The following is a 25040-nucleotide window of genomic DNA, read 5'->3' on the forward strand; positions in this document are numbered from 1 at the left end:
TTTTCTTTTATGTCTTTTTTATGTGTCAGGATTTCTTCAAATGTATACATTTCTTTGGTTGTCAATATATAATTAAGAATGAGGCAATAAAACCTGGTTGGGAGATCCATGTATTTAGATAGGACTTACAGACTGGACTTACAGCAGAGAACACTTGGGGATAAGGAAGGCCTTGATGCTGGAATGTGTTCTCTGCTCTGAGGCTAATCATCTTCCTGAAGAGAATTGTTGGTTATTTGTTTATTTTGATTGGCTGATTTTCTTGTTGTGATTGGACATGAGTAGATGGTCAGTAGATGCCTAGTTCTTGTCTTTTTGGTCTATTGTGGGAGTAGCCTAACTGATCTGATAGAAACCTGAACTTGAACATCCTCTTTTTATCCCTGTTCTCTTTAGTTGAAGAATGGTTTGGCTCTTGGTATTTCATGTGCCAGTGATTGTTAACTGGGGCCCTGGACCTCTTAAGGGGTATCCCCCGGATTATATTCAGGAGATCCCCAAGGTTATATTCAAAATTGCCTGTGCACAGTTTTCTGGGGAAAAGGTCCACAGCTGTCAGGAAGTTCTCACAGCAGTTGGTGAACCTGAAAAGGTTAAACATTGTTGTGGCTTTGCTTTCCATTCCAACATACTGAGTTATTAAAATTCCACTTTCATGTTCTGCGAAGTACAGGGCACATTGACATTTTAGATAACGAGAGCTGCTTTTCTCCTTAAACTTGCAGAAGATGTACAGAAATGAATACAATAAGGTGGAAGATAAGTACTTTAAGAAAGACAAAGATGCAATGCTATAAAAGTTTATAAAAAGATATTAGTTCCCTTGTAGAGAGAATTTAGGTTTCTTTTTGTTAAATTGGTTTAGTTTGAACATTTGTAATGTTGAACTGATGTACTATGAGGATAAATTAGAACATTTGTTTATATTGCATCCTCTACACTTATAACTAAGTATGAAAAATTTTCCCTGGAAGCTCTTATGTAAATATTTTTTACCAGCATGGTTGCAAAGCAGTACAGTCATTCCTGCCACTCCTACAAGTTGCTGTGCCTAAAGGTGGTCCCTATATAAATATTTATTTTGTGCTTCTAACAGGAAAGAAATCTAACTTTAAACATCAAGAAAGTAAAATTCATCTTGGGTGTACTTCCTTGCTCATATAATGAGGGGTTTAGTTATCCTGTTTCAGGAAAAAAAAAATTTGGTAATATGGGATTTTCCTTTAAGAAGATCTTTACTACTTTCCCCTGCTGCTTTTGTGAAAATAATTTTTAAAATTTGGATCAATATTATGCTATACCCCAGAAATCTCAAGTCCCATTTTGTATTAAGAGTGGAAAAACTCCTATATTAACTTGTGAGTACTTTGGCTAATATTTATGATAGTTTTTAGGATGACATAAACATTGTATTTCATGAAAATATTCAAAATTGGGTTCAGAGATAATGCATCATTTTAGTACTTTGTTGTCTGAACATTTATTTAGCTCTTTTATGTGCTAAATTGACAGTCTGCTTTTTTATTCTAAAAATTGATTTAGTTATTAAATAAATCTTAAGTTTTCTGAAATAAGTTGGAATTTTAAAATAGTTTACTTCTCATTAATAATTCTAGCTTTTAAAAGTATATTTTGTCTTAAGTTAAAAATAAATAGTTCAGGTAAGTTTAGGGCTTCCTTAATTACAGTAAACTAAAGAATTAACTTTTTCTTCTTTTTTTCTTAATCAGTGCAAATTAGATTCAACTTTAGTCTCTTGCTATAGTTATCTTGATTTGTTAGTACACTAGTAATATTTTGGTTTACAATGTAAAATGTTTTCTCTTTTCTCTCGTGAACATTATTTTCCTAAATTGTTTCTTTCCTCTTCATCCCATTTTCCTGCTCTTAAAAGTTGTGGTGCCATGGCTGGGTGCAGTGGCTCACGCCTGTAATCCCAGCACTTTGGGAGGCTGAGGCGGGCAGGTCACAAGGTCAGGAGTTTGAGAACAGCCTGACCAACATGGTGAAACCCCGTCTCTATTAAAAATACAAAAATTAGCCGAGCATGGTGGCGTGCACCTGTAATCCCAGCTACTCAGGAGGCTGAGGCAGGAGAATCGCTTGAACCCAGGAGGTGGAGGTTGCAGTGAGCCGAGATCGTGCCACTGCACTCCAGCCTGGGCAACAGAGCGAGACTCCATCTCAAAAAAAAAAAAAGTTGTGGCGCTAACCTATTTTTGTCCTGTTTTGCTTCAGTTAACACCCCATGAAAATCTCTGAAATTAATGTTCAAATGTAATGAGTTAGGCCTGATATAATTTAAAGAAAGAATACATCGTTTCCCTCCAAATGTTTAATGCAGTTATAGTAGCTGCTAATATATAAATGGAGATTAAAATTTATTTTCACTAGTTGTTTCACCTGTTGCATTGTTAAAACAAAATGAGGATTTCACTGGGACACACGGACATTTTCAAACATACATAAAGTAGGAAAAATTGTAAAATAACCCCCCCATTTACCCATTACTCAGCCTCAACAGTGATCAACATGTGGTCAGTCTCATCTGTACCTACTCCCAACTCACTCCAGCTGGATTCTTTTAAAGAAATTCACTGGGGGACTTGTACAGTAAGTAGGATTAGCATCTAAATGTTTGTTACTAGGTTTATGTGAGAAAGAGGCACTGTTTGATATATTTTGGTAATTCATATATATACATGAACTTGTATGCTGACTTATTTAGCCAAAAATAAGTACTCTTTTCAATACTGATTCATTCAAGTGTATGTTATTTTCAGGACAAAAGTTTACCAATCAGTTAGAATTTGTAAAGAACAACATGCTAATGAGGTTGGGTTGATATTTCTCTCCTGGGTTTGAAGATTCATGTGATGCCCTCCTTAAAGAGTATTATGGCAAAACAGATTTGTTATAACCCAATCTAATTATAATTGTTTATTCTTTTGAATAGGGGCTAATTGAATATTTTATTTATTTATTTATTTATTTTAAAATACTCATTTGACCTAAGTAAAAGTAGTGTCAGCATAGGTATAATATAATGCTTCATTGATTACTTATGCTTACACAATATGCAAGTAAATACTTAATTAGATTTATTCCTACATTTCTGTTTTTTAGCTCAAGACATTATAAATACTTAGTTTCCTTAATTTAAGAACCTCAGTTTGTGTTTTTAAATATCTTTTGTAATTGTTCAAACATTAATTAAACTGGATCTTAAGAAGTCATAATATCCAAATAAATTAAATGTTTATTTGCTATTATAAAAATATATTTTCTACCCCCAAATTCAGAAAATACAGAGAAGTAGAAAAAAAGAGTAAAACGTTCTTAGTCCTATTATCCAAACACATACTACTCTTACTATTTTGATATAGCTCCTTCTGGTTTTTATTCTCTGTTTAGATTATTTTTAACAATTTTATGGTATATACAACTTTTGTGTTTTACATTTTCACTAGCATTATTTTATGTTTCTTTGAAAAAAATTATGTTTGGTTAGAAAATTTCAGTTTTAGGTTAAAAGTAAATTAAAGCAATATATTTTCAGAGTTAGAACTGTCTTCTGCATTGCTTTAATACCAACTTAATGCTTTATATTTTTCAGTTTAGGTTTATTTCTTTAAAATTTATGAAGAAACCCCAGTGTACCATGCTGGGTTTTTTTTTTTTTTTTTGTCTTTTTGTTTTTTTGTTTTTTGAGACAGAGTCTCGCTTTGTCACCCAGGCTGGAGTACAGTGGCTCCATCTCAGCTCACTGCAACCTCTGCTTCCTGGGTTCAAGTGATTCTCCTGCCTCAGCCTCCTGAGTAGCTGGGATTACAGGCACGCATCACCACCCCCAGCTAATTTTGTATTTTTTTAGTAGAGATGGGGTTTCGCTGTATTGGCCAGGCTGGTCTCAAACTCCTGAGCCCAAGCAATGCATCCACCTTGGCCTCCCAGAATCCTGGGATTACAGGCATGAGCCACTGCTCCCAGCCTGTTCACTGTTTTTAGATGTACAGTTTTATGATTTTTGACAAACATGTACTCATGTAACTACTACTACAATCAAGATAGAGAATATTTTTCATCACCCTAAAGCATTCCCTTGTGCCCCCTTTGTAGCTGGACCTAGCTTTTTCCCTAGCCTCAGCCCCTGGCAACCACTGATTTGATTTTTTTTCTCTATAGTTTTGCCTTTTCCAGAATGTTATATAAAAGGAATCATACAGTATATAGCCTTTTGTTCTGTCTAGCTTCTTTCATTCAGTATAATGCTTTGAGATTCATCCATATTATTGTGTGTGTTGGGTAGTTCTTTCCTTTTTATTGATGAGTAGGATTCCTTTGTGTGGATGTACTACAATTTGTTTATCCATTCACTGATTGTTGGACCTTGCGTGGTTTCCAGTTTTCAGTAATTATGAATGATGTTGATACTTTCCCATATGGGTCTTTTTATGGACCTATGTTTTAATTTTTCTTGAGTAAATACCTAGGAATGGGATTGCTGGGTCACCGGAGCATTTTGATATTCGTTATCTCATTGGGATGCCCAAGTTTGTAAGGGAAAATCCAGGAACACCATTCCTTTTTTATGACTGGGAAACCGAGACTCAGGGTTGCAAACAGCTTATGGGCTTAAAACCAGATCTTGTAAGTCCAAGTCATTTGCTATCTTTACTAGAATATAATGTTGTTTTCAATGACGTTTCCTTGTTTTATTATAGCAACAGGGTTAACAAATCTCTCAGATCTTTGCAACAAGAATGGAAATATTTATCAGTAACTGAGAGTCAATATTAATAAGATTCTTCCTCAAGTTGTTAGTTTCCATTTCTGGCCTAGAAATTTGGGAGTTCATACAATAAATGTTAACTCTTAAAGTCTAATCTTAATCTTGGATAAATATACTCCCCCTCAATTTATTTTGCATAAATAATTAATATCTGACCAGAGCATCAGTTGTATAGTCATGGCACTGTGTAACAACATTTTGGTCAATGGCAGACAACATATATGATGGTGGTCACATAAGATTATAATACTGTATTTTTATTGTACCTTTTCTATGTTTAGATATGTGTAGACATGCAAATATTTACCATTGTGTTATAATTGCTTACAGTATTCAGAACAGTAACATGCTGTACAGGTTTGTAGCCTAGGAACAATAGGCCATACCATATAGCCTAGGGTTATAGCAGGCTCTACCATGTAGGTTTGTATAAGTATATACTGATATTCATATAACAACAGAATTGCCTAAGGATGCATTTTTCAGAATGTATCCCTATCCTTAAGCGATAAAGCGTGACTGTATATGGAATAAGATTCTTCTCTAAAGATGATCGAATCTGTCTTCTGGCATCTAAAAATTTGAAATTCTCTGTCATATTGAAGGTTTTCCTTAATATAAATGTAGTAAAATACATTTTGAATGATTAGATTTTTCCCTCAAACTTTTCATCCTGCCAGACTTTCATTTCATATAAGCTTTGAAAACAGTTTGCCAAATTCTCTCTAAATACTCATACTGGTCAATAGAGAGTAGCTCAAATGTATAAATTTCAGTTTACCATTTAGTGTAAAGTTTTAATTTTTTTCCATCATAAAATTATTGAACAACGTGTCTACCAAACTTTAAGAACATCTAGCATAGTTATTTACACATAGAAGATGTCTTATTCCATATTACCTTGCCTCTAACATGCAAGAGCAGTGGTGGTAGAAAAAGCCTTGAGTCAGAAGACCTTGTTTCAAAGCCGCAGTTGTGTGAACTCACAGAAATCATGAAACCACTCATTCTCAGCCTTCTCTTCTCCACATGAGGAACAACCACACTTTCTCTGTGACTTGCAGACTAGGGAAGCAGAAGATATAGTCATTAACCAGCTGAAGCGACAACAAAAAAAATTAAGTATTGCATTCCAAGTCACTGGTTTTGCAACTCTTAGCCAATGAGTCCAATTTTACCTTTACAAACAATGATTAAACTTGGGCAATAGCATTTCTAGTTGTATTCAGGTACTGAGAGTGAAAGATATAATAATGCCTTTGATTAAACAATCTAAAGAATTATCTAAGTTTAATTATAGGCTTATTCTTTCTAAGAGAGTAATAACTGTAATTATTAAAATGTTAATTTAATGAAAAATAACTTTTATATTTCTCATTTTAATGTTTACAAAACAGGAATACCTAACCATAACTGGGGTCAAATTCTAGCCACTAATTGAATGAAGTTGTATAAATTTCATGACTTCACTTAAAAAATAAGGATAATAACGACATGAATCTTTATGAGATTCAAGACAATGCATATAAAATACTTAGCACAGTGCCTATAAGGGTTAAATAGAACCCATTTAAGGACTTTGGGGGAGGTGGTAGCAGTAAATAATTGGAAGCATTGAGTCAGTCTTTATTTTGGACTTCAGGGAACTTGGTGTTTAGTTTTGATCACATGTTCCATTCAACTGAGCAGAACCCAAATTTAGTCATAGTGAGGTTAGTAAAATATATAAATAACCCAGTCCAAAGAGAAGATTCTAAATTTCAACTCTACCGTATTTTCTGTTTAAGGAGTGGAGACTTTGAAATAATAGTAAAATAGAAACTGATGAAGTTTATGAAGGTGATAAAAAATGAGAAAGTGGACAAGGTGTGGAAAGGATTAAGAATTTAATCACTGTTTCTGAATTTTGGCACATTGATGTACTATTATGCGCTGATTAAATTATGTTGACAGATTTTTTATGATAGAGAAATGCTATTTTTTTAGATCAAGGTAGTATATAATCATTATTTTGTTAGACATGCATAGGAATTTACCAAAGGGGGAGGAATTTAGGGTTCTTTCTTTCTACTCTAGTAGATATTTTCCAAAGTCTTATATAATTAAAGAAATACTTTTAAAATTTTGGTAAAACCTTTCTTTTTATCTTGACTTTAGCCTTTCTGGTTATAGAAGACATGTGTTCTTATAAGTGAAACAGCTAGGGGTAAAGTTTTCTTTTTTTTTTTGAGACAGAGTCTCGCTCTGTTGTCCAGGCTGGAGTGCAGTGGCCCCATCTCGGCTCACTGCATACTCCGCCTCCCAGGTTAACGCCATTCTCCTGCCTCAGCCTCCTGAGTAGCTGGGACTACAGGCACCCGCCACCATGCCCAGCTAATTTTTTGTATTTTTTGGTAGAGACGGGGTTTCACCATGTTAGCCGGGATGGTCTCGATCTCCTGACCTTGTGATCCGCCTGCCTTGGCCTCCCAAAGTGCTGGGATTACAGGCGTGAGCCACCACACCCGGCCTAAAGTTTTCTTTTTAAGTGTTCTGAAGAACAGATTCTGCTTGATTTAAATGGGGCAGTTTTTATGTTTTTCTGTAATCCTTGTTTCATCACAGAGAGTTGTTCTGAGTTGTTTTTTCTTTTCTATTTTCAATACTTGAGTTCAAAGCACTTTACAAATGTTATTATATTTAGAAACATTCATCCTAACCGCAGCTTGCTTGCTGTTAAAAATATTATACATTTCTAAATATGTTCACAACCAAACATTATTCAATAATGTGATTTTTAAGGGCATGTAGAATGAATAGAAAAGAATGAATTACTTGATGAGCTTCATAAAACTGCTATTTATAATTATTTGCATGTGGAAATTCATTGTTTCAGTTTGTTTCTTGACTTAAAAACAGTAGTCATAGAGTAGACATATTTTTGCTCTCCTGATTTGCAGTAAGATTTTAAATGCCATCTATTAAATTTGCCTATTATATTTCTCCTGAAAAGTAAGAGGTGTGTTTTTGAAAATGGAAAAGGCACAGATGCTGTTTTCAGGCACAAACTCTGTTTTCAAAAGGTCGGTTTGAAGAGCTTGTTTTTCTTATTTGCCCATCTCCTAAAAAGAATGCTGACGTGAGTTATGAAGAATAGAGAGTATTTGATGTATGTGGAGGCTCATTTACCCAAATTATGAACATTTCTTAATTTATGGTGATTAAATTTCTGCTTTATTAAGACAATGGTTTTTTAGTCTTTTCTGTAGTAATGTAGAAAGAAAGAAAAATATTAGCCAGGATATTGTTGTTTGGTGTCCAACAAGTTTTAATAGTAGTTTTTACCATTAAAGTCTTAAACTGGATTTTTGTCTCTTTAATTGTACAGTAATGAAAGCTTATCTCTGTCGTTTCCCTCTTGTTTCTCCTTACCATAGCTTTTAACGTTGTATTCTATCACTAAATTATAAAGCAGTAAGCATATGACTACAGCATATTACTCTCTTACACCAGTATGTAAAAGTGCAGGACAGGCATCTATTAAGAGGGTGTGAAATACATTTAATCTTCAGAGCTAGATAACCTGGGCAAGTTCAAGCGACTTTTAAATAGGCCGTTAGTTTTAACTTTCTGTTTGTTCGCAGTAATCTCATTCTCACCCACCTTTTCATTCTAGTTTAAAACACTTCACAAATACCTGACAGTAAAAGGCATAATGAATGCTTCACAGACTCAGATTTCTCTAATGGGAACTATTAAATTGACATTCATTTAAAAAAATTATTTGGCATAATATACAGTAATTCATTTAGCAAGCTACCATTTGGAAGCTGCAGAAAAAGGAGAGACTATATTCTTTGAATAGATTTGTTACTTTTCTAATTTGTTTCTCCTTAGTTTAGTTAATAATATAAATACAGGTTGAACATTTCAAATCCAAAAATCTGAAATCCAGAATGCTCCAAAATCGGAAACTTTCTGAGCATTGACATGACATCAAAGGAAATGCTCATTGAAAGAGTTTAGATTTTTGGATACAGGATGCTCAACTGGTATAATGCAAATATTACAAAATCCAAATAAACTCAAAAATCCAAAACACTTTTGGTACCCAGCATTTCAGATAAGGAATACTCAACCTGTATAAGCAACTAAGATAGTGAAAGGATATTTTCTACATATAAAGTAAATTAAAATTTTTTAAAAAGCTTTATTTCTTGTGACTAAGTGCTAACCTTTATAAATCTAAAAAAAAAAAAAAAAAAAAGACTGTTAGTATTCTTATCTGATGGTGTTTCTAAAAAGTGCGTACTCAGAAAATGTTCTTTTACTCCAAAGACAAAGTATAGCTTTGGCAACTCTGTTTTTCTACATTTCCAACTAAGTTTGAGCCTGTCTGAATCACGCATCACCAGTTTTGTGATGAAACAGCTATACTTCTCATTAAGTCTCTGCCCTTTCAGTCCCTCTGTTTCTGATAGGCCCAGCAAAGTTACCTAATGTCTATGTCACATGAATGCAGCCTGAGTGTACAAAATTCTGCAGTACCAAAATATTACAATGTGCATATATTAGGTCACACATATACACTTATATCAAACTAATGAATTAGTTAGAAAATAGCACAAGTGTTGATTCTTGAAAGTGCTGTATAATTAGCAAGGGGACTTTTGGAGACAAAAAACAATAACAAAACCCAAGGAATTAAAATCGGTGCTGCAAAAAATGTCGTATTAGAATAATGGGCTGACTCTAATAGTGTAGAAATATAATAAGATGAATTTAGTAGGGATAAATATTGTGGTCTGTGTTTACATTTTGAAAGCACGGTATTGAGGTACAGAAATGAGAAATAATAGTTACATTGCACTAGTTAATTTTTAAAAACATACATATCAATAGCATTCCATTAGGTCTCAGATTTTTAAAATCTTACTGAAATGATTTGTTGGAATGATTTGAAAGTAGCACAGTTGCTGACAGCATATTGCTACCCCAAACAAACAAATTTTAGGCTTCTTTAATTTTAAAAACTAGTGTTCACAATCAAGGAGGTAAGTGGGATTCTCTCCTTCTTGGCTAGTTACATTATGCCATAAGGAGGAGGAGCAGGGAAGGGGGGGGATGGGGATGATGATGATTTAAGATTACCACACTTTCACCTAATGACAAAGCTAATGGCAGGGTTAACATCATGTCATGGGGAACAAGTGAAGAAACCATGGGAGTATTTGATCTAAAATGAGGACATGGGGGAATAAAAATAGAAATCATTTTGTTTTAAACAGGGCGTTTTTGGTTGGAAATAAATAAAGCCTACTCCAATTGATATGAATATATCAATGAAGAATATCTCCAACTGATAATAGTATCTCTAAGAACAGGAAGTGCAGCTGGTTGCAAAGGACTAGAGCCAAGAACTAGAGCATTATTAGGAATCAGAATGGCGTCTTCCCTCCCTTCTCTTCTCCTTGTGACCATGAATGTCATGGTGCTTATCTTTGGAAAGTAGGAATGGGGGGGCCACAGGATAATTTTTTACCTCTTATTTTGAAACGGCCTCCCCAGTACCAGCTCTGTATGATCCCCTAGTTCAAATTCCTAACAGAGATTGACAATTATCTGTGTCTTACTTCCAGAATCTTGGAAGACAATCTGATTGACCAGCTACAGTCTGTTTTTCACCTGTGTTCCAATTATTTGTAGCCAGAGAGAAGAAAGGTCATATAGTTCAAAACAGAGCTGCAGACAGACAGGGTGGGAATCAAAGGCAGGTAGCAGCCAATCAGGGCAGACATTCCAAACTGTCCAGTGCAGGTGCCATGAAAAATTAGAACGGCTTTGTTGAAGAGAAATTATATTTGGAGGAGGGGGGTCTTAAGGAGCAGGCTTCTGGGAATCAGGCTTCAGTTCCACAAAAGAAAACACTTAAAACTTTATAAGATTAGGACCGGCTACTTTGGATTGTTAAGTTCCTTGTCAGCTGTGGGCTGCAATGGCCATATGTTGATGGAACACTATAGAAGCGATTCAGGTGTTACATGGAAGGATGGTTTTGTTGACCTGTGAAGTTCCTTCTAAGCCTGAGAGTAAAATCAGTTTTGTCATAAGTTATTTCCACCAAAATAATAAAATATTAATGTTTTTCGTATAAATATATATGGTATCTTAAACCAGGGAAAGCAAGTAATCAGTGGTGGCTATGGAATTTCCATTTCAGTTGGGTTTGTTCAGGACTGGCAGTCTGGTGGCAAGGGGAGGGCAGGGGCAAGTGCTAAAGGAATTGCTTTAGAACTTCATGTACAGAGCAAGCTATCTTAGCTCTTGTGGAATAACAAACCACCCTAAAGTTTAGTGGGTTAAAACAATAGCCATTTATTTAACTCTTGTTTCTGTGGGTTGACAGTTTGAGCCTGGATCAGCTGGGTGGTTTTCTGGCCTTATTCCTGTGTCTGTTGGCAGCTGCTGGTTGGTTGGAAGCTGGCTGATCTAGGATGGCCCCAGGTGGACTGACTTGTCCACATGGCCATATCCTGGCTTCACATGGCAGCTGGGCAAAGTTCTAAGAGAAAGAGTAGATGCACTCAAGGCTTCTTGAGGTCTAAACTCAGAAGTGACATAATCTCATATCCACCAAACTCTCTTGACCAAAGTGAATCTCAGGATCACCTAAATTCAAGAGGTCTAGAAATTGACCCTGTCCTTTGATCAGAGGAGCTGCAAAGCTACATTGCAAAGAGGGGAGACCTAGAGAGGGGAATAATTGCCACCTTCTTTGTAAATAATCTACCATACCAAGCACACTTTTTTCTGTATCATGGAACAATAAAAATAGAATTTCCAAAGTTCTTTTACTCACATTTTACATATTGAGGAACCCTACAAGTTGGCTATTTGTTTAAATTTGGACAACGAATATAATAGCTGAGAAGCAGGTTTTGTTCTTGTACTGAATTATTCGTTGAGGTGGTGTGGGTAGTCAAGTTATGGATTATAAAATAAAATATTTTCCTTATTTCAAAATAAGGTAAAAGCATTCAAAGTATGTTCACTGAATATATCCAAAAAAAATCTACGTGACATTGTAGATATTTATGTTCTGATGAATAGTTAATAATGTTGAATAAAAAATTATGTGAAGAATACATTACTGTAAATGCAAATATGGCAGGGTTTTTTGCTTAAAAAGTAGCAGTTTTATATATGATTATTTGGAATTTGAAGTTTAACATCTGTCTTGTTTCTAGGAGCTCTGCCAGTGCCGGCCGGGAGAAGGCAATTGCTCCTGCTGTAAGGAGTGCATGCTGTGTCTTGGGGCCCTTTGGGACGAGTGCTGTGACTGTGTTGGTAAGTTGATACCAAGGGAGACTTCTTAATATTTCTTATCACAGAATCCTTGGCTTTAAGAGACTTTAAGGAATATAAATGTAGTTTATGTGCATAAACAAGTATGTGTGTGAAATATAGTAAACATACAGAACATTGTATTTTTACATTCAATTGTATTCAGTAGTATTTACCTATACATGTATTTAAAAGTGCTTATCCTTGGGAAGTAGGAGTGGGGGGCCAAGGCAGAATGTTTAACTTTTTATTTTGAAAGTTTTTGTACTGTTGAATTTTTTATAAGCAGCAGCATTTTTTTTTTGTTTTTAATAAGAAGTAGGTTTTATAAGAAGAAACATTCTCCAAGATGTGTTAAGTAAAAAAAGTCAGGTTCAAAATTATGTTTATAGAATGCTATCATTTGTGTGTTAGAAAGAAAACTTACGTGTGTAGGAAGAAACACCTGTCAGCCCTTCTCTGACCAGTTAACTCATTTTTAACTTTTAAAACCCCAGTTCAAGTATCCCCTTTCCTTGGAAACCTTCCTTATTTGACTGAGATAAAGGATCCTCTATGCTTCTGAGAGATCATTTATTGCATGCTCCTATAATTGTTGTTTTGCATGTTTTTTCGACAGAGTATCACCTCCTTAAGAACAGGAATATCATCATATTGATCTTTTTTACATTATCCTTTATCGAAATAGGCTATATGCATATACTTTTTAAGTCACATAGTACTAAAACAATCCCATCTCAGTTCTTTCCAAGCCTTTGATCCTATGCCCAGAGACTACCACTTTCAACTTTTCAGCGTTGCACTGCTTCCATAATTCTGAATAATAACCCTATACTACTCTCTTGATTCTTTGATTTTAGAAACTATCAGTTGACTTCCTCTTATGGTAGACAAGCATTTAGTTCTCTTATCTCTTAATCTTCCCAGTGTGATTTTATCACTCCTTCTAGTGAAATCAGTATTTACCTTAATAATCACTCTAATGAATTAATAATATATACTCATTTGATGCATAATAATGTAAGCACTAATTAATTAAATGAGTTATCCCATTATCTGTCTTTCTGTATTTTGGGTGTATGGTGTACTTCTTGAGAGATTTCCTAATCTTTTCACCCTTGTATTAATTTTTTAAATTTTTACTTCCTTTTTTAATTTCCAAGAGCCCTTCTCTGATTGTCCTTTTTTAAGGAACATACTGTTCTTGTTTTATATGTAACATATTTTTCTTATCTTTATGGGATTCTTAATTGTACTGTTTTGTGGTTGCTGTTGAGTTTTTTCCTTCTACTCCTTGCATGATTTCCATTTTCTCAGGTGTCTGGTGACCCTTGGCTGTCTATTCCTTTGTAGAATTTAGGTACTCCAAAACGGACTGGGAGTACTTAATCCATGGACAGGGCATGGAATGTAGTTTGCCTCACGAAAAGGTGGTTGGAGGATGAACTGCCTTTTTCACTGACGAGCCCTCTATTTCATGTCTATAGATCTTTCCCTTTAGGGTTGCACATTTTTTCTAGAGAAAGATCTCCTGGTTTCCTGCTGGTGTTGAGGCTGGGGTATGGGGCAGTATGCCAGGCTGCAAATGTTCTGGGAACCTGAGGGGTGAGGTCACAGTAAACAGTAAGCATACTTTTATTTACGTTCCTTGTTTTTTTCCCATACTCATCTCTACCCTTTGCCATTTTTGGCATTCCCAGTCCAGGGCCTCTTTGGTTTAATTTCTCTAAAGACTAACTCTCTCATCTCCTACAGTTGTGGAAGAAGAGACAGGGACCTGAAGGTATAACTACCCCACAGAATAGGCTTGCCTCTGCCACTCTGGCACCTCCAGCTCCTGAGTCTCCTCAGGGTTCTGTGGGGTGCATGGCCTGTGTGAAGACTGCTCAGTCAGGTACCTTTAGCTCTTAGGTTCTCCACAGATAGAGTTAGTGTTTCCATTTCTTGTTTTTCTTTAGTGTTTTGTAGTGAATTCTGAGAGAATGGGGGCAGAAGTATCTTTTCCTCTGTCCTCTTATATTCATCTTGGTATCTCTAACAGCTAGCTTTGAATTATTTTAGGTCATTAACTGTATATTAATTTAATATGTACAGTGAAACTAAAAAAGAGGAAATAGTCATCTTAATCTCTGATATACACACATAAGATTTTTTTTTGAGACAGGGTCTTGCTATGTTGCCTAGGCTGGAGTGGAGTGGTGTGATCATGGCTCACTGCAGGCTCAACATCCTGGGCTCAAGCAGTCCTCCTGCCTCAGCCTCCCAAGTAGGTGGGACTGCAGGCATGAGCCACAACACCCAGCTGATTTTTATAGTTTTGATGGAGACAGGGTTTCGCCATGTTGCCCAGGCTGGTCTCGAACTCCTGGGCTCAAGTGATCCACCCGCCTCAGCCTCCCAAAGTGCTGGGATTACAGGCGTGAGCCAATGTGCCCAGCCTCACACATAAGAATTTAATTTAAACATGGATGCCAAAATACACAAATGAACTTTTATTAATAGCATTGCCTAAAATAATGTGTATGTATGTGTGTGAGAGTGTTTGTGCGAGTGTATGAATGTGAGTGTATGTGTGTTATATATGTGTGTGTCTTAACCATCACACCATGATGACAGTGCTGTTCAGCGTCTTCTTTTAGGAAGAGAGTTCTGCATTTTTTTCCACTGAGAAAGAATAATTATACATGCTTATATCTCTACAATTTTAGAAGCAACTGGTATGCTTCCAGGCTAGTTCTCATTTTTTTAAAAAAAGCTTATTTACCTTTAAGGGTTGGATGTCCAGTTTTAAACTTTGAGTAAGTTCATAATGTAACTTCATCTTTCATTTTAAGTTAAGTTAATCTTTCTACTTTCTAGGATAAAACTGAGATATTCCAGTTCTATTTATACAGCAATCCTCCTCCTTGTAGGCAGCTCTCTTCCAAATTAGGCTCTCTTAACATCCTTTGCAAACCTGCCGCTGCTCCTCCTTCCTAAGTTGAAATAGTCCCCATACTTTTCATGGGTGGGGCACAGACCTCTGAGAGAACACAAATTAGAGTGCAGCCTTCCTTTCCTCTCTCATTCTGTGGACTTCAGCACATACTTTCTCTAGGAAACTTTCCCCTGTGGCTCCCTTGTATAAGAGCTTCTCTTTTCTGATTTTTTCTTAAGGTAAGAGTAACCACCATAGTTGATTTTAATCTTTGCTGTCCAACATATTCCTGAAATCCTGTGGGTTTTGGATCCTAGATCTCCACCCACAAGCTCTTTTTTCTTTTTTTTTACTGTTTTTACTTTTCCAAATGTGCACAAAAATAGAGAGTACAGTGATACGTACTACCTGTTCCAATAGTCATTAATACATTGCCAGACTTGTTTCATCCATTCATCTGTTTGTTGGTATATGTCTCTATCTTCCCCCACAACCTTTTTGTTTTGCTTAGGTATTACAAAGTAAATCATTTCACTATTATCCGTGAAGTCCTTTAGTTATACATCTCAAAAAAAGAGTATTTTTACATAACACAATGTCATTACTATGCCTAATGTAATTAACAGCACATCTTTATTTTATTTTTATTTTTATTTTTGAGGCAGAGTTTTGCTCTCTCGCCCAGGCTGGAGTGCACTGGTGCAGTCTTGGCTCACTGCAACCTCCACCTCCTGAGTTCAAGTGATTCTCCTGCCTCAGCCTCCCAGGTAGCTGGGACTACAGACACACGCCACCATATCTAGATACTTTTTTGTATTTTTTTGTACAGATGGGGTTTCACCATGTTGGCCAGGCTGGTCTCGAACTCCTGTCCTCAAGTGATCTGCCCTCCTCAGCCTCCCAAAGTGCTGGGATTACACATGTGAGCCACCGCACCCGGCCATTTAACAGTACTTCTTTAATATCGTCTAATACCACTCAGATCATACTTAGATTTCACTGATTGACTAAATGTTTTTTACAGTTGTTTTACTCAAATCAAGATCCAACAAAGATTACTCACTGTATTTGGTTGTTAGATTTCTTAAGTTTCTTTTATTCTAAAACAGTTTCTTCTCCCCCTCTCTCCCATCCTTTAATATTCCATTGGCTTTTTGAATAAACTAGTCAGTCATGATTGGTTTCTTCAAAATAAACCACATTCTGGATTTGGTTGATTGCTTCTTTTGGTTATTTAACTTGTTAGTTGGTCTTTTCTATTTCCTATAGGCTGGAAGTTAGATATGAAGGCTTGATTAGATTGAGGCTCAGTTTTTGGGAGGAGGGAACAGTGGTACAGTGTACACAAAGGCAAACAATATCCAGACGTCCTGCTTTTAGTAATGCTAAAATTGATCCCATGAGTTCCGACGGTGAAAGTCTGATCCCTTTGTGATAAAGGTCCCCATCAGCCTTTCACCTGGTGATTTCACCCCTTCTTGATGACCATTGCCTGAGTCAGCTACTTCATTAGAAGCTGTAAAACAGCCAGGTGTGGTGGCTCACGCGTATAATCCCAGCACTTTGGGAGGCCAAGAGGGGGCGAATCACCTTAAGTCAGGAATTCAAGACCAGCCTAGCCAACATGACGAAATCCCGTCACTACTAAAAATACAAAAATTAGCCAGGTGTGGTGGTAGGCACCTGTAATCCCAGCGACAAGGGAGGCTGAGGCAGGAGAGTCACTTGAACCCAGAAGGCAGAAGTTGCAGTGAGCCGAGATAGTGCCACTGCACTCCAGTCTGGGTGACAGAGGGAGACTCTGTCTCAGAAAAAAAAAAAGAAGAAGAAGAAAAGTTGTAGAACAATGATTTTCTATTTTTATCATTACTTCTGCAGTTATTAGCTGGAATTTTTCTGTATAATGTAAATGGAATCCTACACTACTACATAGTAGCTTAAAATACATTTAGAACAACATGAAATGATGAATGATTTAATAATAGACTCTTTAATGGCATTAAGACATTGTAACTTTTGATTCATGTTTAATGTGCATTAAAAGTTGGATTCTGCCTAAGCATGATGGCTCATTCCTGTAATTCCAGCACGTTGGGAGGCCACAGAAGGAGGATCACTTGAGCCCAGGAGTTCAAGACCAGCCTAGGCAACATAAGGAGACCCCATCTTTACCAAAAATAAAAATTAATTAGTTGGGTGTGATGGCATGCACATATGGTCCCAGCTACTTGGGAGGTTAAGGCAGGAGGATTACTAAACTCAGGAGGTCAAGGCTGCAGTGAGCTCTGATTGCACTACAGCACTCCAGCCTGGGCAACAGAGTAAGACCCTGTCTCTAAAAAAATTTTTTTAAATAAATAAATAAATGTTGAATTCTATGGGAAATGTTAAATTAGAAGAAAAAATTGCCTGAGCGCAGTTGCTCGTGCCTATAATCCCAGCACTCTGGGAGGCCAAGGCAGGCGGATCACTTAAGTTTGAGACCAACCTGGGCAACATGGCAAAACCCCGTCTCTACAAAAAATAAAAAATTTAGCTGTGCATGGGTGGCATGTGCCTGTAGTCCCAGCTACTTGGGTGGGAGCGGGGGCTGTGGCAGGAGAATCGCTTGAGCCCAGGAGGTTCAGGCTGTACTGAGCCATGTCTGAGTCACTGCAGTCCAGCCTAGGCGGCAGAGTGAGACTTTAACTCAAAAAAAAAGAAAAAGAAAAAGAAAGGAAAAGAAAAAAACTAGGCCAGGCCCAGAGGCTCACACCTGTAATCCCAGCACTTTGGGAGGCCTAAGTGGGAGGATCGCATGAGCACAGGAGTTCAAGATCAGCCTGGGCGACACAGGGAGACTCTGTCTCTACAAAATAAAAAAACAAAAAATTGACTGGGCATAATGATGCATGCCTGTAGTCCTAGCTACTTGGAGGGCTGAGACAGGAGGATCACTTGAGCCCAGGAGCTTGCGGCTGTAGTGAGCTATAATTGCACCCCTGCACTCCAGCCTGGGTGACAGATCAAGACCCTGTTTCAAAAAAATAAAAGAAAAAATTAATAACTTGTGCCAATAAATAAAACATGGCAAGCATGAACTTTTTCATCTTGAGCCACCTGTTTAGCATGTCGTGGAACACTATAATTCAGTGGTGCACTGTTTGTATAATGTTGATATAGAAATAGCAGATTCTTTATAGTACCAAGATCATTTGCTATACTTAATAAATTGGAAGCATCATAAGCTCCAAGACCAGGCTGTGAAGCCTGCTGAAAACCTGCTTAGCAACCACAGCTTGGCTCATTTTGCCATACCAACTCATAGATCCTAGATGTCGCTGTGGTGAATGGAAGAAAGGGGCACAGGGAAAGAGCCGGAAAAGGTGGGTGGTGTCAGGCAACAGGCACAGTGCCTGCAAAACCCAGGAAAACAGGATCAGACAGCTCTGTGCTGGGAACACAACCCTGGGACAGGCTCTACCACCTAGTGGATCAAATGTTTCTTCCTTAATCCTGCTCTTTGTTAGGCAAATTCCTTGAACTCTGACTTTGAACTCAGGGCTACAGTCCAGTACTAACCTTGACGGGTCTTGGCATCTTCCTTTTGGAACATCCAGGTTTTTCGTTATGACTCTCTCTTGTATCTCAGGTCAGATCTAGATAGATCCGTTGGTTCCTGCATAGAATGGATTTCTGTCTTGCTTCGCTCTAACATGTTACTTTTCTAATATTAAGGAATAAATAGGTGCTAGGAGTTCAAATTTTCTGTTTTCTGTTTTAAGAAAAACTATGCAAATTATTTAGATACATTATTTATTATTATTAATTTTAATTGACAAATAATAGTATATATTTACCCAGTGCAACAGGTTATTTTGAAATATGTATACATTGTGGAATGGCTACATAGAGCTAATTAACATACATTACCTCACCTTTTCTGTGTATGGTGAGAACACTTAAAATCTACTCTCTTAGCAATTTTCTTTTTTATTTTTTCTTGAGATAGGGTCTCTGTCACCCAGGCTGGAGTGCAGTGATGCTATCACACCTCACTGCAGCCGCAACCTCAAGTGATTTTCCCACCTCAGCCTCCCGAGTAGCTGGCACTATGCTACCACACCTCGCTAATTTTTAAATTTTTTGTAGAGATGGGGTCTCAATGTGTTATCCAGACTGGTCTTGAATTCCTGGACACAAGTGATACTCCCGCCTTGGCTTCCCAAAGTGCTGGGATTACAAGTGTGAGCCACTGTGCCCAGCCAGCAATTTTCAAGAATATAATACATTGTTATTAGCTATAGTCACCATGTTGTACAATAGAGCTCTTGAATTTATTATTTCTATCTAACTGAAATTTTGCATTATTTGATGGACACCTCCCCTTTCCTCAGCTCCTGGTAACCATTCTGCTCACCGCTTCTGTGAGTTCAACTTTTTTAGATTCCACATATAAGTGAAATCATGCGGTATTTGCCTTTCTGTGACTGGCTTATTTTACTTAACATGATGTCCTCCAGGTTCATCCATGTTGTAAATCAGGGTCCCCAACCCCTGAGCCATGGACCAGTAGCAGTCCGCCGCCTCTTAGGAACCGGGCCACATAGAAGGAGGTGAACACCAGGCAAGCGAGCGTCACCGCCTGAGCTCCGTCTCCTGTCAGGTCAGCGGCAGTATTGGATTCTTACAGGAGCTCGAACCCTATTGTGAACTGCACATACGAGGGGTCTCAGTTGCATGCTCCTTATGAGAATCTAATGCCTGATGATCTGAGGTGGAACAGTTTCATCCCAAAACCAGTCCTGGTGCCAAAAAGGCTGGGGGCTACTGATAGGATTTCCTTCTTTTTTTAAGGCTGAATAGTATTCCATTGTATATAAAGTGGAATTGTATTTTATATTGTATAAATATACCACATTGTACATATCCACATTTTCTTTATCCATTTTTGGACAATTAGGTTGATTCTCTGTCTTGACTATTGTGAATAATGCTGCAGGGAACATGAGAGTGCAAACATCTCTTTGACATACTGAGCTAGTTCTATTTTTAATTTTTTTAGGAACCTCCATACTGTTCTCCATAATGGTTGTACTAATTTACATTCCCACCAACAGCATGCAAGGATTCCCTTTTCTCCATGCCCTCCCTCTCCAACACTTGTTGCCTTTCATCTTTTTTATAATGGCCCTTCTAAAAGGTATGAGGTAATATCTTATTGTGGTGTTTTTTTTGTTTTGTTTTGTTTTTTTGAGATGGAACCTCACTCTGTCACCCAGGCTGGAGTGCAGTGGCATGATCTTGGCTCACTGCAACCTCCGCCTCCTGGATTCAAGCAATTCTCTGCCTCAGCCTCCCAAGTAGCTGAGATTACAGGTGCCTGCCACCATGCCTGGCTAATTTTTTTGTATTTTTAGGAGAGATAGGGTTTCGCCATCTTGGCCAGGTTGGTCTTGAACTCTTGACCTCAGGATCCACTCGCCTCAGCCTCCCAGAGTGCTGGGATTACAGGCATGAGCCATCACACCTGGCCATTATTGTGGTTTTAATTTGTATTGCTTTGGGCTGGGTGCAGTGGCTCACGTCTGTAATTCCAGCACTTTGGGAGGCTGAGGCAGGTAGATCATTTGAGGTCAGGAGTTCAAGATCAGGCTGGCCAACATAGTAAAACACCATCTCTATTAAAAATACAAAAATTGGCTGGGCACGGCGGCTCATGCCTGTAATCCCAGCACTTTGGGAGGCCAAGGAGGGCAGATCACCTGAGGTCAGGAGTTTGAGACCAGCCTGGTGAACATGGTGAAACTCCGTCTCTACTAAAAATACAAAAATTAGCTGGGCATGGTGGCACACACCTGTAATCCCAGCTATTCGGGAGGCTGAGGCAGGAGAATCGCTTGAGCCTGGGAGGTGAAGTTTGCAGTGAGCCGAGATCATGCAACTGCACTCCAGCCTGGGCAACAGAGCGAGACTCTGTCTCAAAAAAAAAAAATTAGCTGAGTGTGGTGGCACACACTTGTAATCCCAGCTACTCAGGAGGCTGAGGCACGAGAATTGCCTGAACCCAGGCAGCAGAGTTTGCAGTGAGCCAAGATAGTGCCATTGCACTCCAGCCTGGGCAACAGAGTAGACTCTGTCTCAAAACAAACAAACAAACAAACAAATAAATAAATAAAATAAAATAAAATAAAATAAATAATTTGTATTACTTTGATGATTAGTGATTTTGAGAATTTTTACATATACAGCATATATCTGTTAGCCATTTGTATGTCTTCTTTTGATTAATGTCTATTCTGATCCTTTGCCCGTTTCTTTTGAGTCAGAGTCTTGCTCTGTCACCCAGGCTAGAGTACAATGGCACGATCTTGGCTCACTGCAGCCTCCACCTCCCAGGTTCAAGCAATTCTCATGCCTCAGCCTCCCAAGTAGTTGGGATTACAGGTGCCCGCCACCACGCCTGGCTAATTTTTGTATTTTTAGTAGAGATGGGGTTTCACCATGTTGGCCAAGCTGGTCTCAAACTCCTGACCTCATGATACACCCACCTCGCCTTCCCAAATGCTGGGATTACAGGCATGAGCCACCGCACCTGGGCCCTTTGCCCATTTTTTAATATTGGATTATTTGTTTTCTCACTGTTAGGTTGTTTGAGTTCCTTTTTTTTGCTTTGAGACAAGGTCTTCTTCCGTTGCTCAGGCTGGAGTGTGCACACCACCATACCCAGCTTACTTTTTAATTTTTGTAGCAATGGGATCTCTCTATGCTGCCCAGGCTCATCTCAAGCTCCTGACCTCAAGTGATCTTCCCACCTCAGCCTCCCAAAGCATTGGGATTACAGGCGTGAGCCACCATGCCCAGCCCCCTGAGTTCGTTACATATTTTTTATATTAACCGCTTATCAAATGTATGGTTTGCAAATATTTTTTCCCATTCTGTAGATTGTCTCTTCACTATATTGATTGTTTCCTTGACTGTGCAGAAGCTTTTTACTTTGAGTTAATTCCATTTGTCTGTTTTTGCTTTTGTTCCCTGTGCTTTTGGATTCATGTCCCAAAGAATCATTGTCCAGCCAGGCGCAGTGGTTCACACCTGTAATACCAGCATTTTGGGAGGCTGAGGTGGGCGGATCATGAGGTCAAGAGATCAAGACCATCCTGGCCAACATGGTGAAACCCCGTCCCTACTAAAAATACAAAAATTAGCTGGGTGTGGTGGTGTGTACCTGTAGTCCCAGCTACTTGGGAGGCTGAGGCAGCAGAATTGCTTGAACCCAGGAGGTGGAGGTTGCAGTGAGCCAAGATCATGCCACTGCACTCCAGCCTGGTGACAGAGTGAGACTCCATCTAAAAAAAAAAAAAAATTATTGTCCAGACCAATGTCGTGGCACTTTCTGTATTTTCCTCTACCTAGTTTTAGATACATAATGATCACTTTCCAATCTCTTCCCAAATTCAACCATCGTCAGTGTTGAATTTCACTGAACACATATACCAGAATTGGTATGCCAAAGGATAATGCCTTATGTACTTTTTTGTTGGGTTTTATTTTGCCAGAGATGTTTGTTTGGTCTAGATGTTTGCAACTGTTACCCAATAAGTACTTAAAGACACCGAAGACTAGAGTCATTTAGGCCTATTCAGAGTTTACTTTTAAAGCTGATGCATTGATTCAGAAAACCGACTAAAAAAGAAAACTGAATGTAATTTATCCATTGGGTCAAATAGCACAGGACCTAATTCCAAAATTAACTCCAGCCATAGATGTTTTCTACTAGTAATAGTAGCTTCTTCCTTAGAGTGAATTTTCTTCAAGAACATTCATTTAAGTATCCTTTTCTGCTTTGAGCCCATCAAAACTTGTGAGTTGTATAAAATATGAGCCATAGCATAATATTCAGGAACAATTTCAATAAACTTTTTCTTCCAAAAAAAGCTATGTTAGGTAACTGTTCATTTTTTAAGTTAAGGAGATTTTTCTCTAAGTAGCCAAAATGGAATAATGATCACTTAACTCTAAGGTGTTTCTCTGAGAAACTGAATAGCAGTACCTTTATTCCAGATTAAACTTAAAAAAAAAAAACCCTTTTGTGTGATACCTATTGGGCCTATTAGATTTATGTAACTTCCCTCACTTTTAGAAATGACAGATTGACCCTATACTTTAAAATTGCTTATAAAAGTCCCTTAAGTTGCCACAAAAGGAGGTCTGAGATTGCATTATGAATATTTAGAAGTTACTTTTTGTTTTTAGTATTTATATATGACCTTAAATGTGAGTCTCAGCCAAAGCAAAGAAACTGCACTGATTTAAAGGATTTTAGAAATCACTTTTTTTTTTTTTTTTTGAGATGGAGTCTTGCCCTGTCGCCCAGGCTGGAGTGCAATGGTGTGATCTTGGCTCACTGCAACCTCTGCCTCCTGGGTTCAAACTATTCTCCTGCCTCATCCTCCCGAGTAGCTAGGACTACAGGCACGTGCCACCATGCCTGGCTAATTTTTGTATTTTTAGTAGAGACAGGGTTTCACCATGTTGGCCAAGCTGGTCTCAAACTCCTGACCTCGTGATCCGCCTGCCTTGGCCTCCCAAAGTACTGGGATTACAGGCGTGAGCCACTGTGCCCAGCCTATAAATCACTTATATACATAGTTTGCCTTCCTTATCCTAAAAAGAACTTTGAAGTTGCTTGTAGTATATTTCCTATATATTCTCTGCCTTTTTAGAAGACATTTTAAAAAGAAGTTCTTCTCCAGTAGCAATGAACACACAAAGAATAAGTGAAGATAAAGTGAAACATTTTTATTCTTTTTTTTTTTTTTTTTGAGACAGAGTCTCGCACTGTCGCCTGGGCTGGAGTGCAGTGGCTCAGTCTCGGCTCACTGCAACCTCCGCCTCCCCGGTGATTCTCCTGCCTCAGCCTCCTGAGTAGCTGGGACTACAGGCGCACATCACCACTCTCGGCTAATGTTTTGTATTTTTAGTAGAGACAGGGATTCACTGTGTTGGCCAGACTGGTCTCGAACTCCTGACCTCATGATCCGCCCTCCTTGGCCTCCCAAAGTGCTGGGATTACAGCCGTGAGCCATCGCGCCTGGCCAACGTTTTTATTCTTAATTGATCTAACAGATGACAGCTCTTTCAAAATAATAGCAACAATGTATTTAATTATGTGTGCTATGTATGTATATATATTATATATTTGTATATACAGTAGTTCCCCCTTATCGGTGGGAGATACATTCCAGGGCCCACAGTGAATTCCTGAAACCACAGATAGTACCAAACCTTATAAATACTATACTTTTTCCTATACATACATTCCTATGATACAGTTTAATTTATAAATTAGGCATAGTAAGAGATTAACAATAACAATTTATAGCAATAATATGGTAATAAAATAAAAATAAAATAAAATAATACGGTAATAAAAGTTATGTGAATGTGATCTCTGTCTCTTTCTCTCAAAATATCTTAATAATTTCAGATGATAGTCAACCACAGATAATTGAAACTGGAAAGCAAAACTGCAGATAAGGGACAACTACTGTATGTATATATATTTATATATATTATATATAATATATACATTATAATATATGCTTATGTTTGCTTATATATAAGTGAAATGAATGAAAACAATGATACATGGACAGGAGGGAGGAATTAGGATTATTTTGTCATTATAAGGTACTCACATTACCCATGAAGTGATATGGTTTATTCAAATGTGAACTTGATTCATTGTAAATGTATACTGCACACTCCAGGACAACCACTAAAAAAAGTAGAAGCTTAAAAAAGAAGAGAAAATGGAATCAAATAAAATGCTCAATTAAAACCAAAAAGGCAGAAAAAGAGTAGAAGACAAAAATAGGAACAAAAGACAAGAACAACAAATAGAAGATAGTAACAAATATGATAGATATTAATCCAGTTATATTAGTAATCATTTTGAACATCAGTGGTCTAAATGCACCAATTAAAAGAGATTGTTAGAGTGGATCAAAAAACAAGACCCTACTG

The 25040-nt window shown here is 37.6% G+C and overlaps 1 protein-coding gene across 2 annotated transcripts in view, besides 1 other annotated feature; it reads left to right on the forward strand.

The window, feature by feature from the left end:
* The window catches only part of TWSG1 (twisted gastrulation BMP signaling modulator 1), a 67648-nt gene that overhangs the window by 13181 nt on the left and 29427 nt on the right, over positions 1–25040 (forward strand). For both annotated transcript variants that reach the window (NM_020648.6, XM_047437675.1), the window contains one exon: positions 12019–12118. In NM_020648.6, the coding sequence (NP_065699.1) occupies positions 12019–12118 (100 nt within the window). The remainder of the gene's footprint in view (positions 1–12018; positions 12119–25040) is intronic.
* Positions 919–1088: an enhancer, noted in NCBI's record as "experimental_50729 CRE fragment used in MPRA reporter constructs". NCBI's record gives its function as "activates a minimal promoter by MPRAs in K562 erythroleukemia cells, with activity observed for both the introgressed and non-introgressed 18:9348955 variant alleles {active_cell/tissue: K562}" and the evidence as "EXISTENCE:reporter gene assay evidence [ECO:0000049][PMID:34662402]".

Source organism: Homo sapiens, chromosome 18 (genome assembly GCF_000001405.40).
Source record: "Homo sapiens chromosome 18, GRCh38.p14 Primary Assembly".
Taxonomy (NCBI): Eukaryota; Metazoa; Chordata; class Mammalia; order Primates; family Hominidae; genus Homo; species Homo sapiens.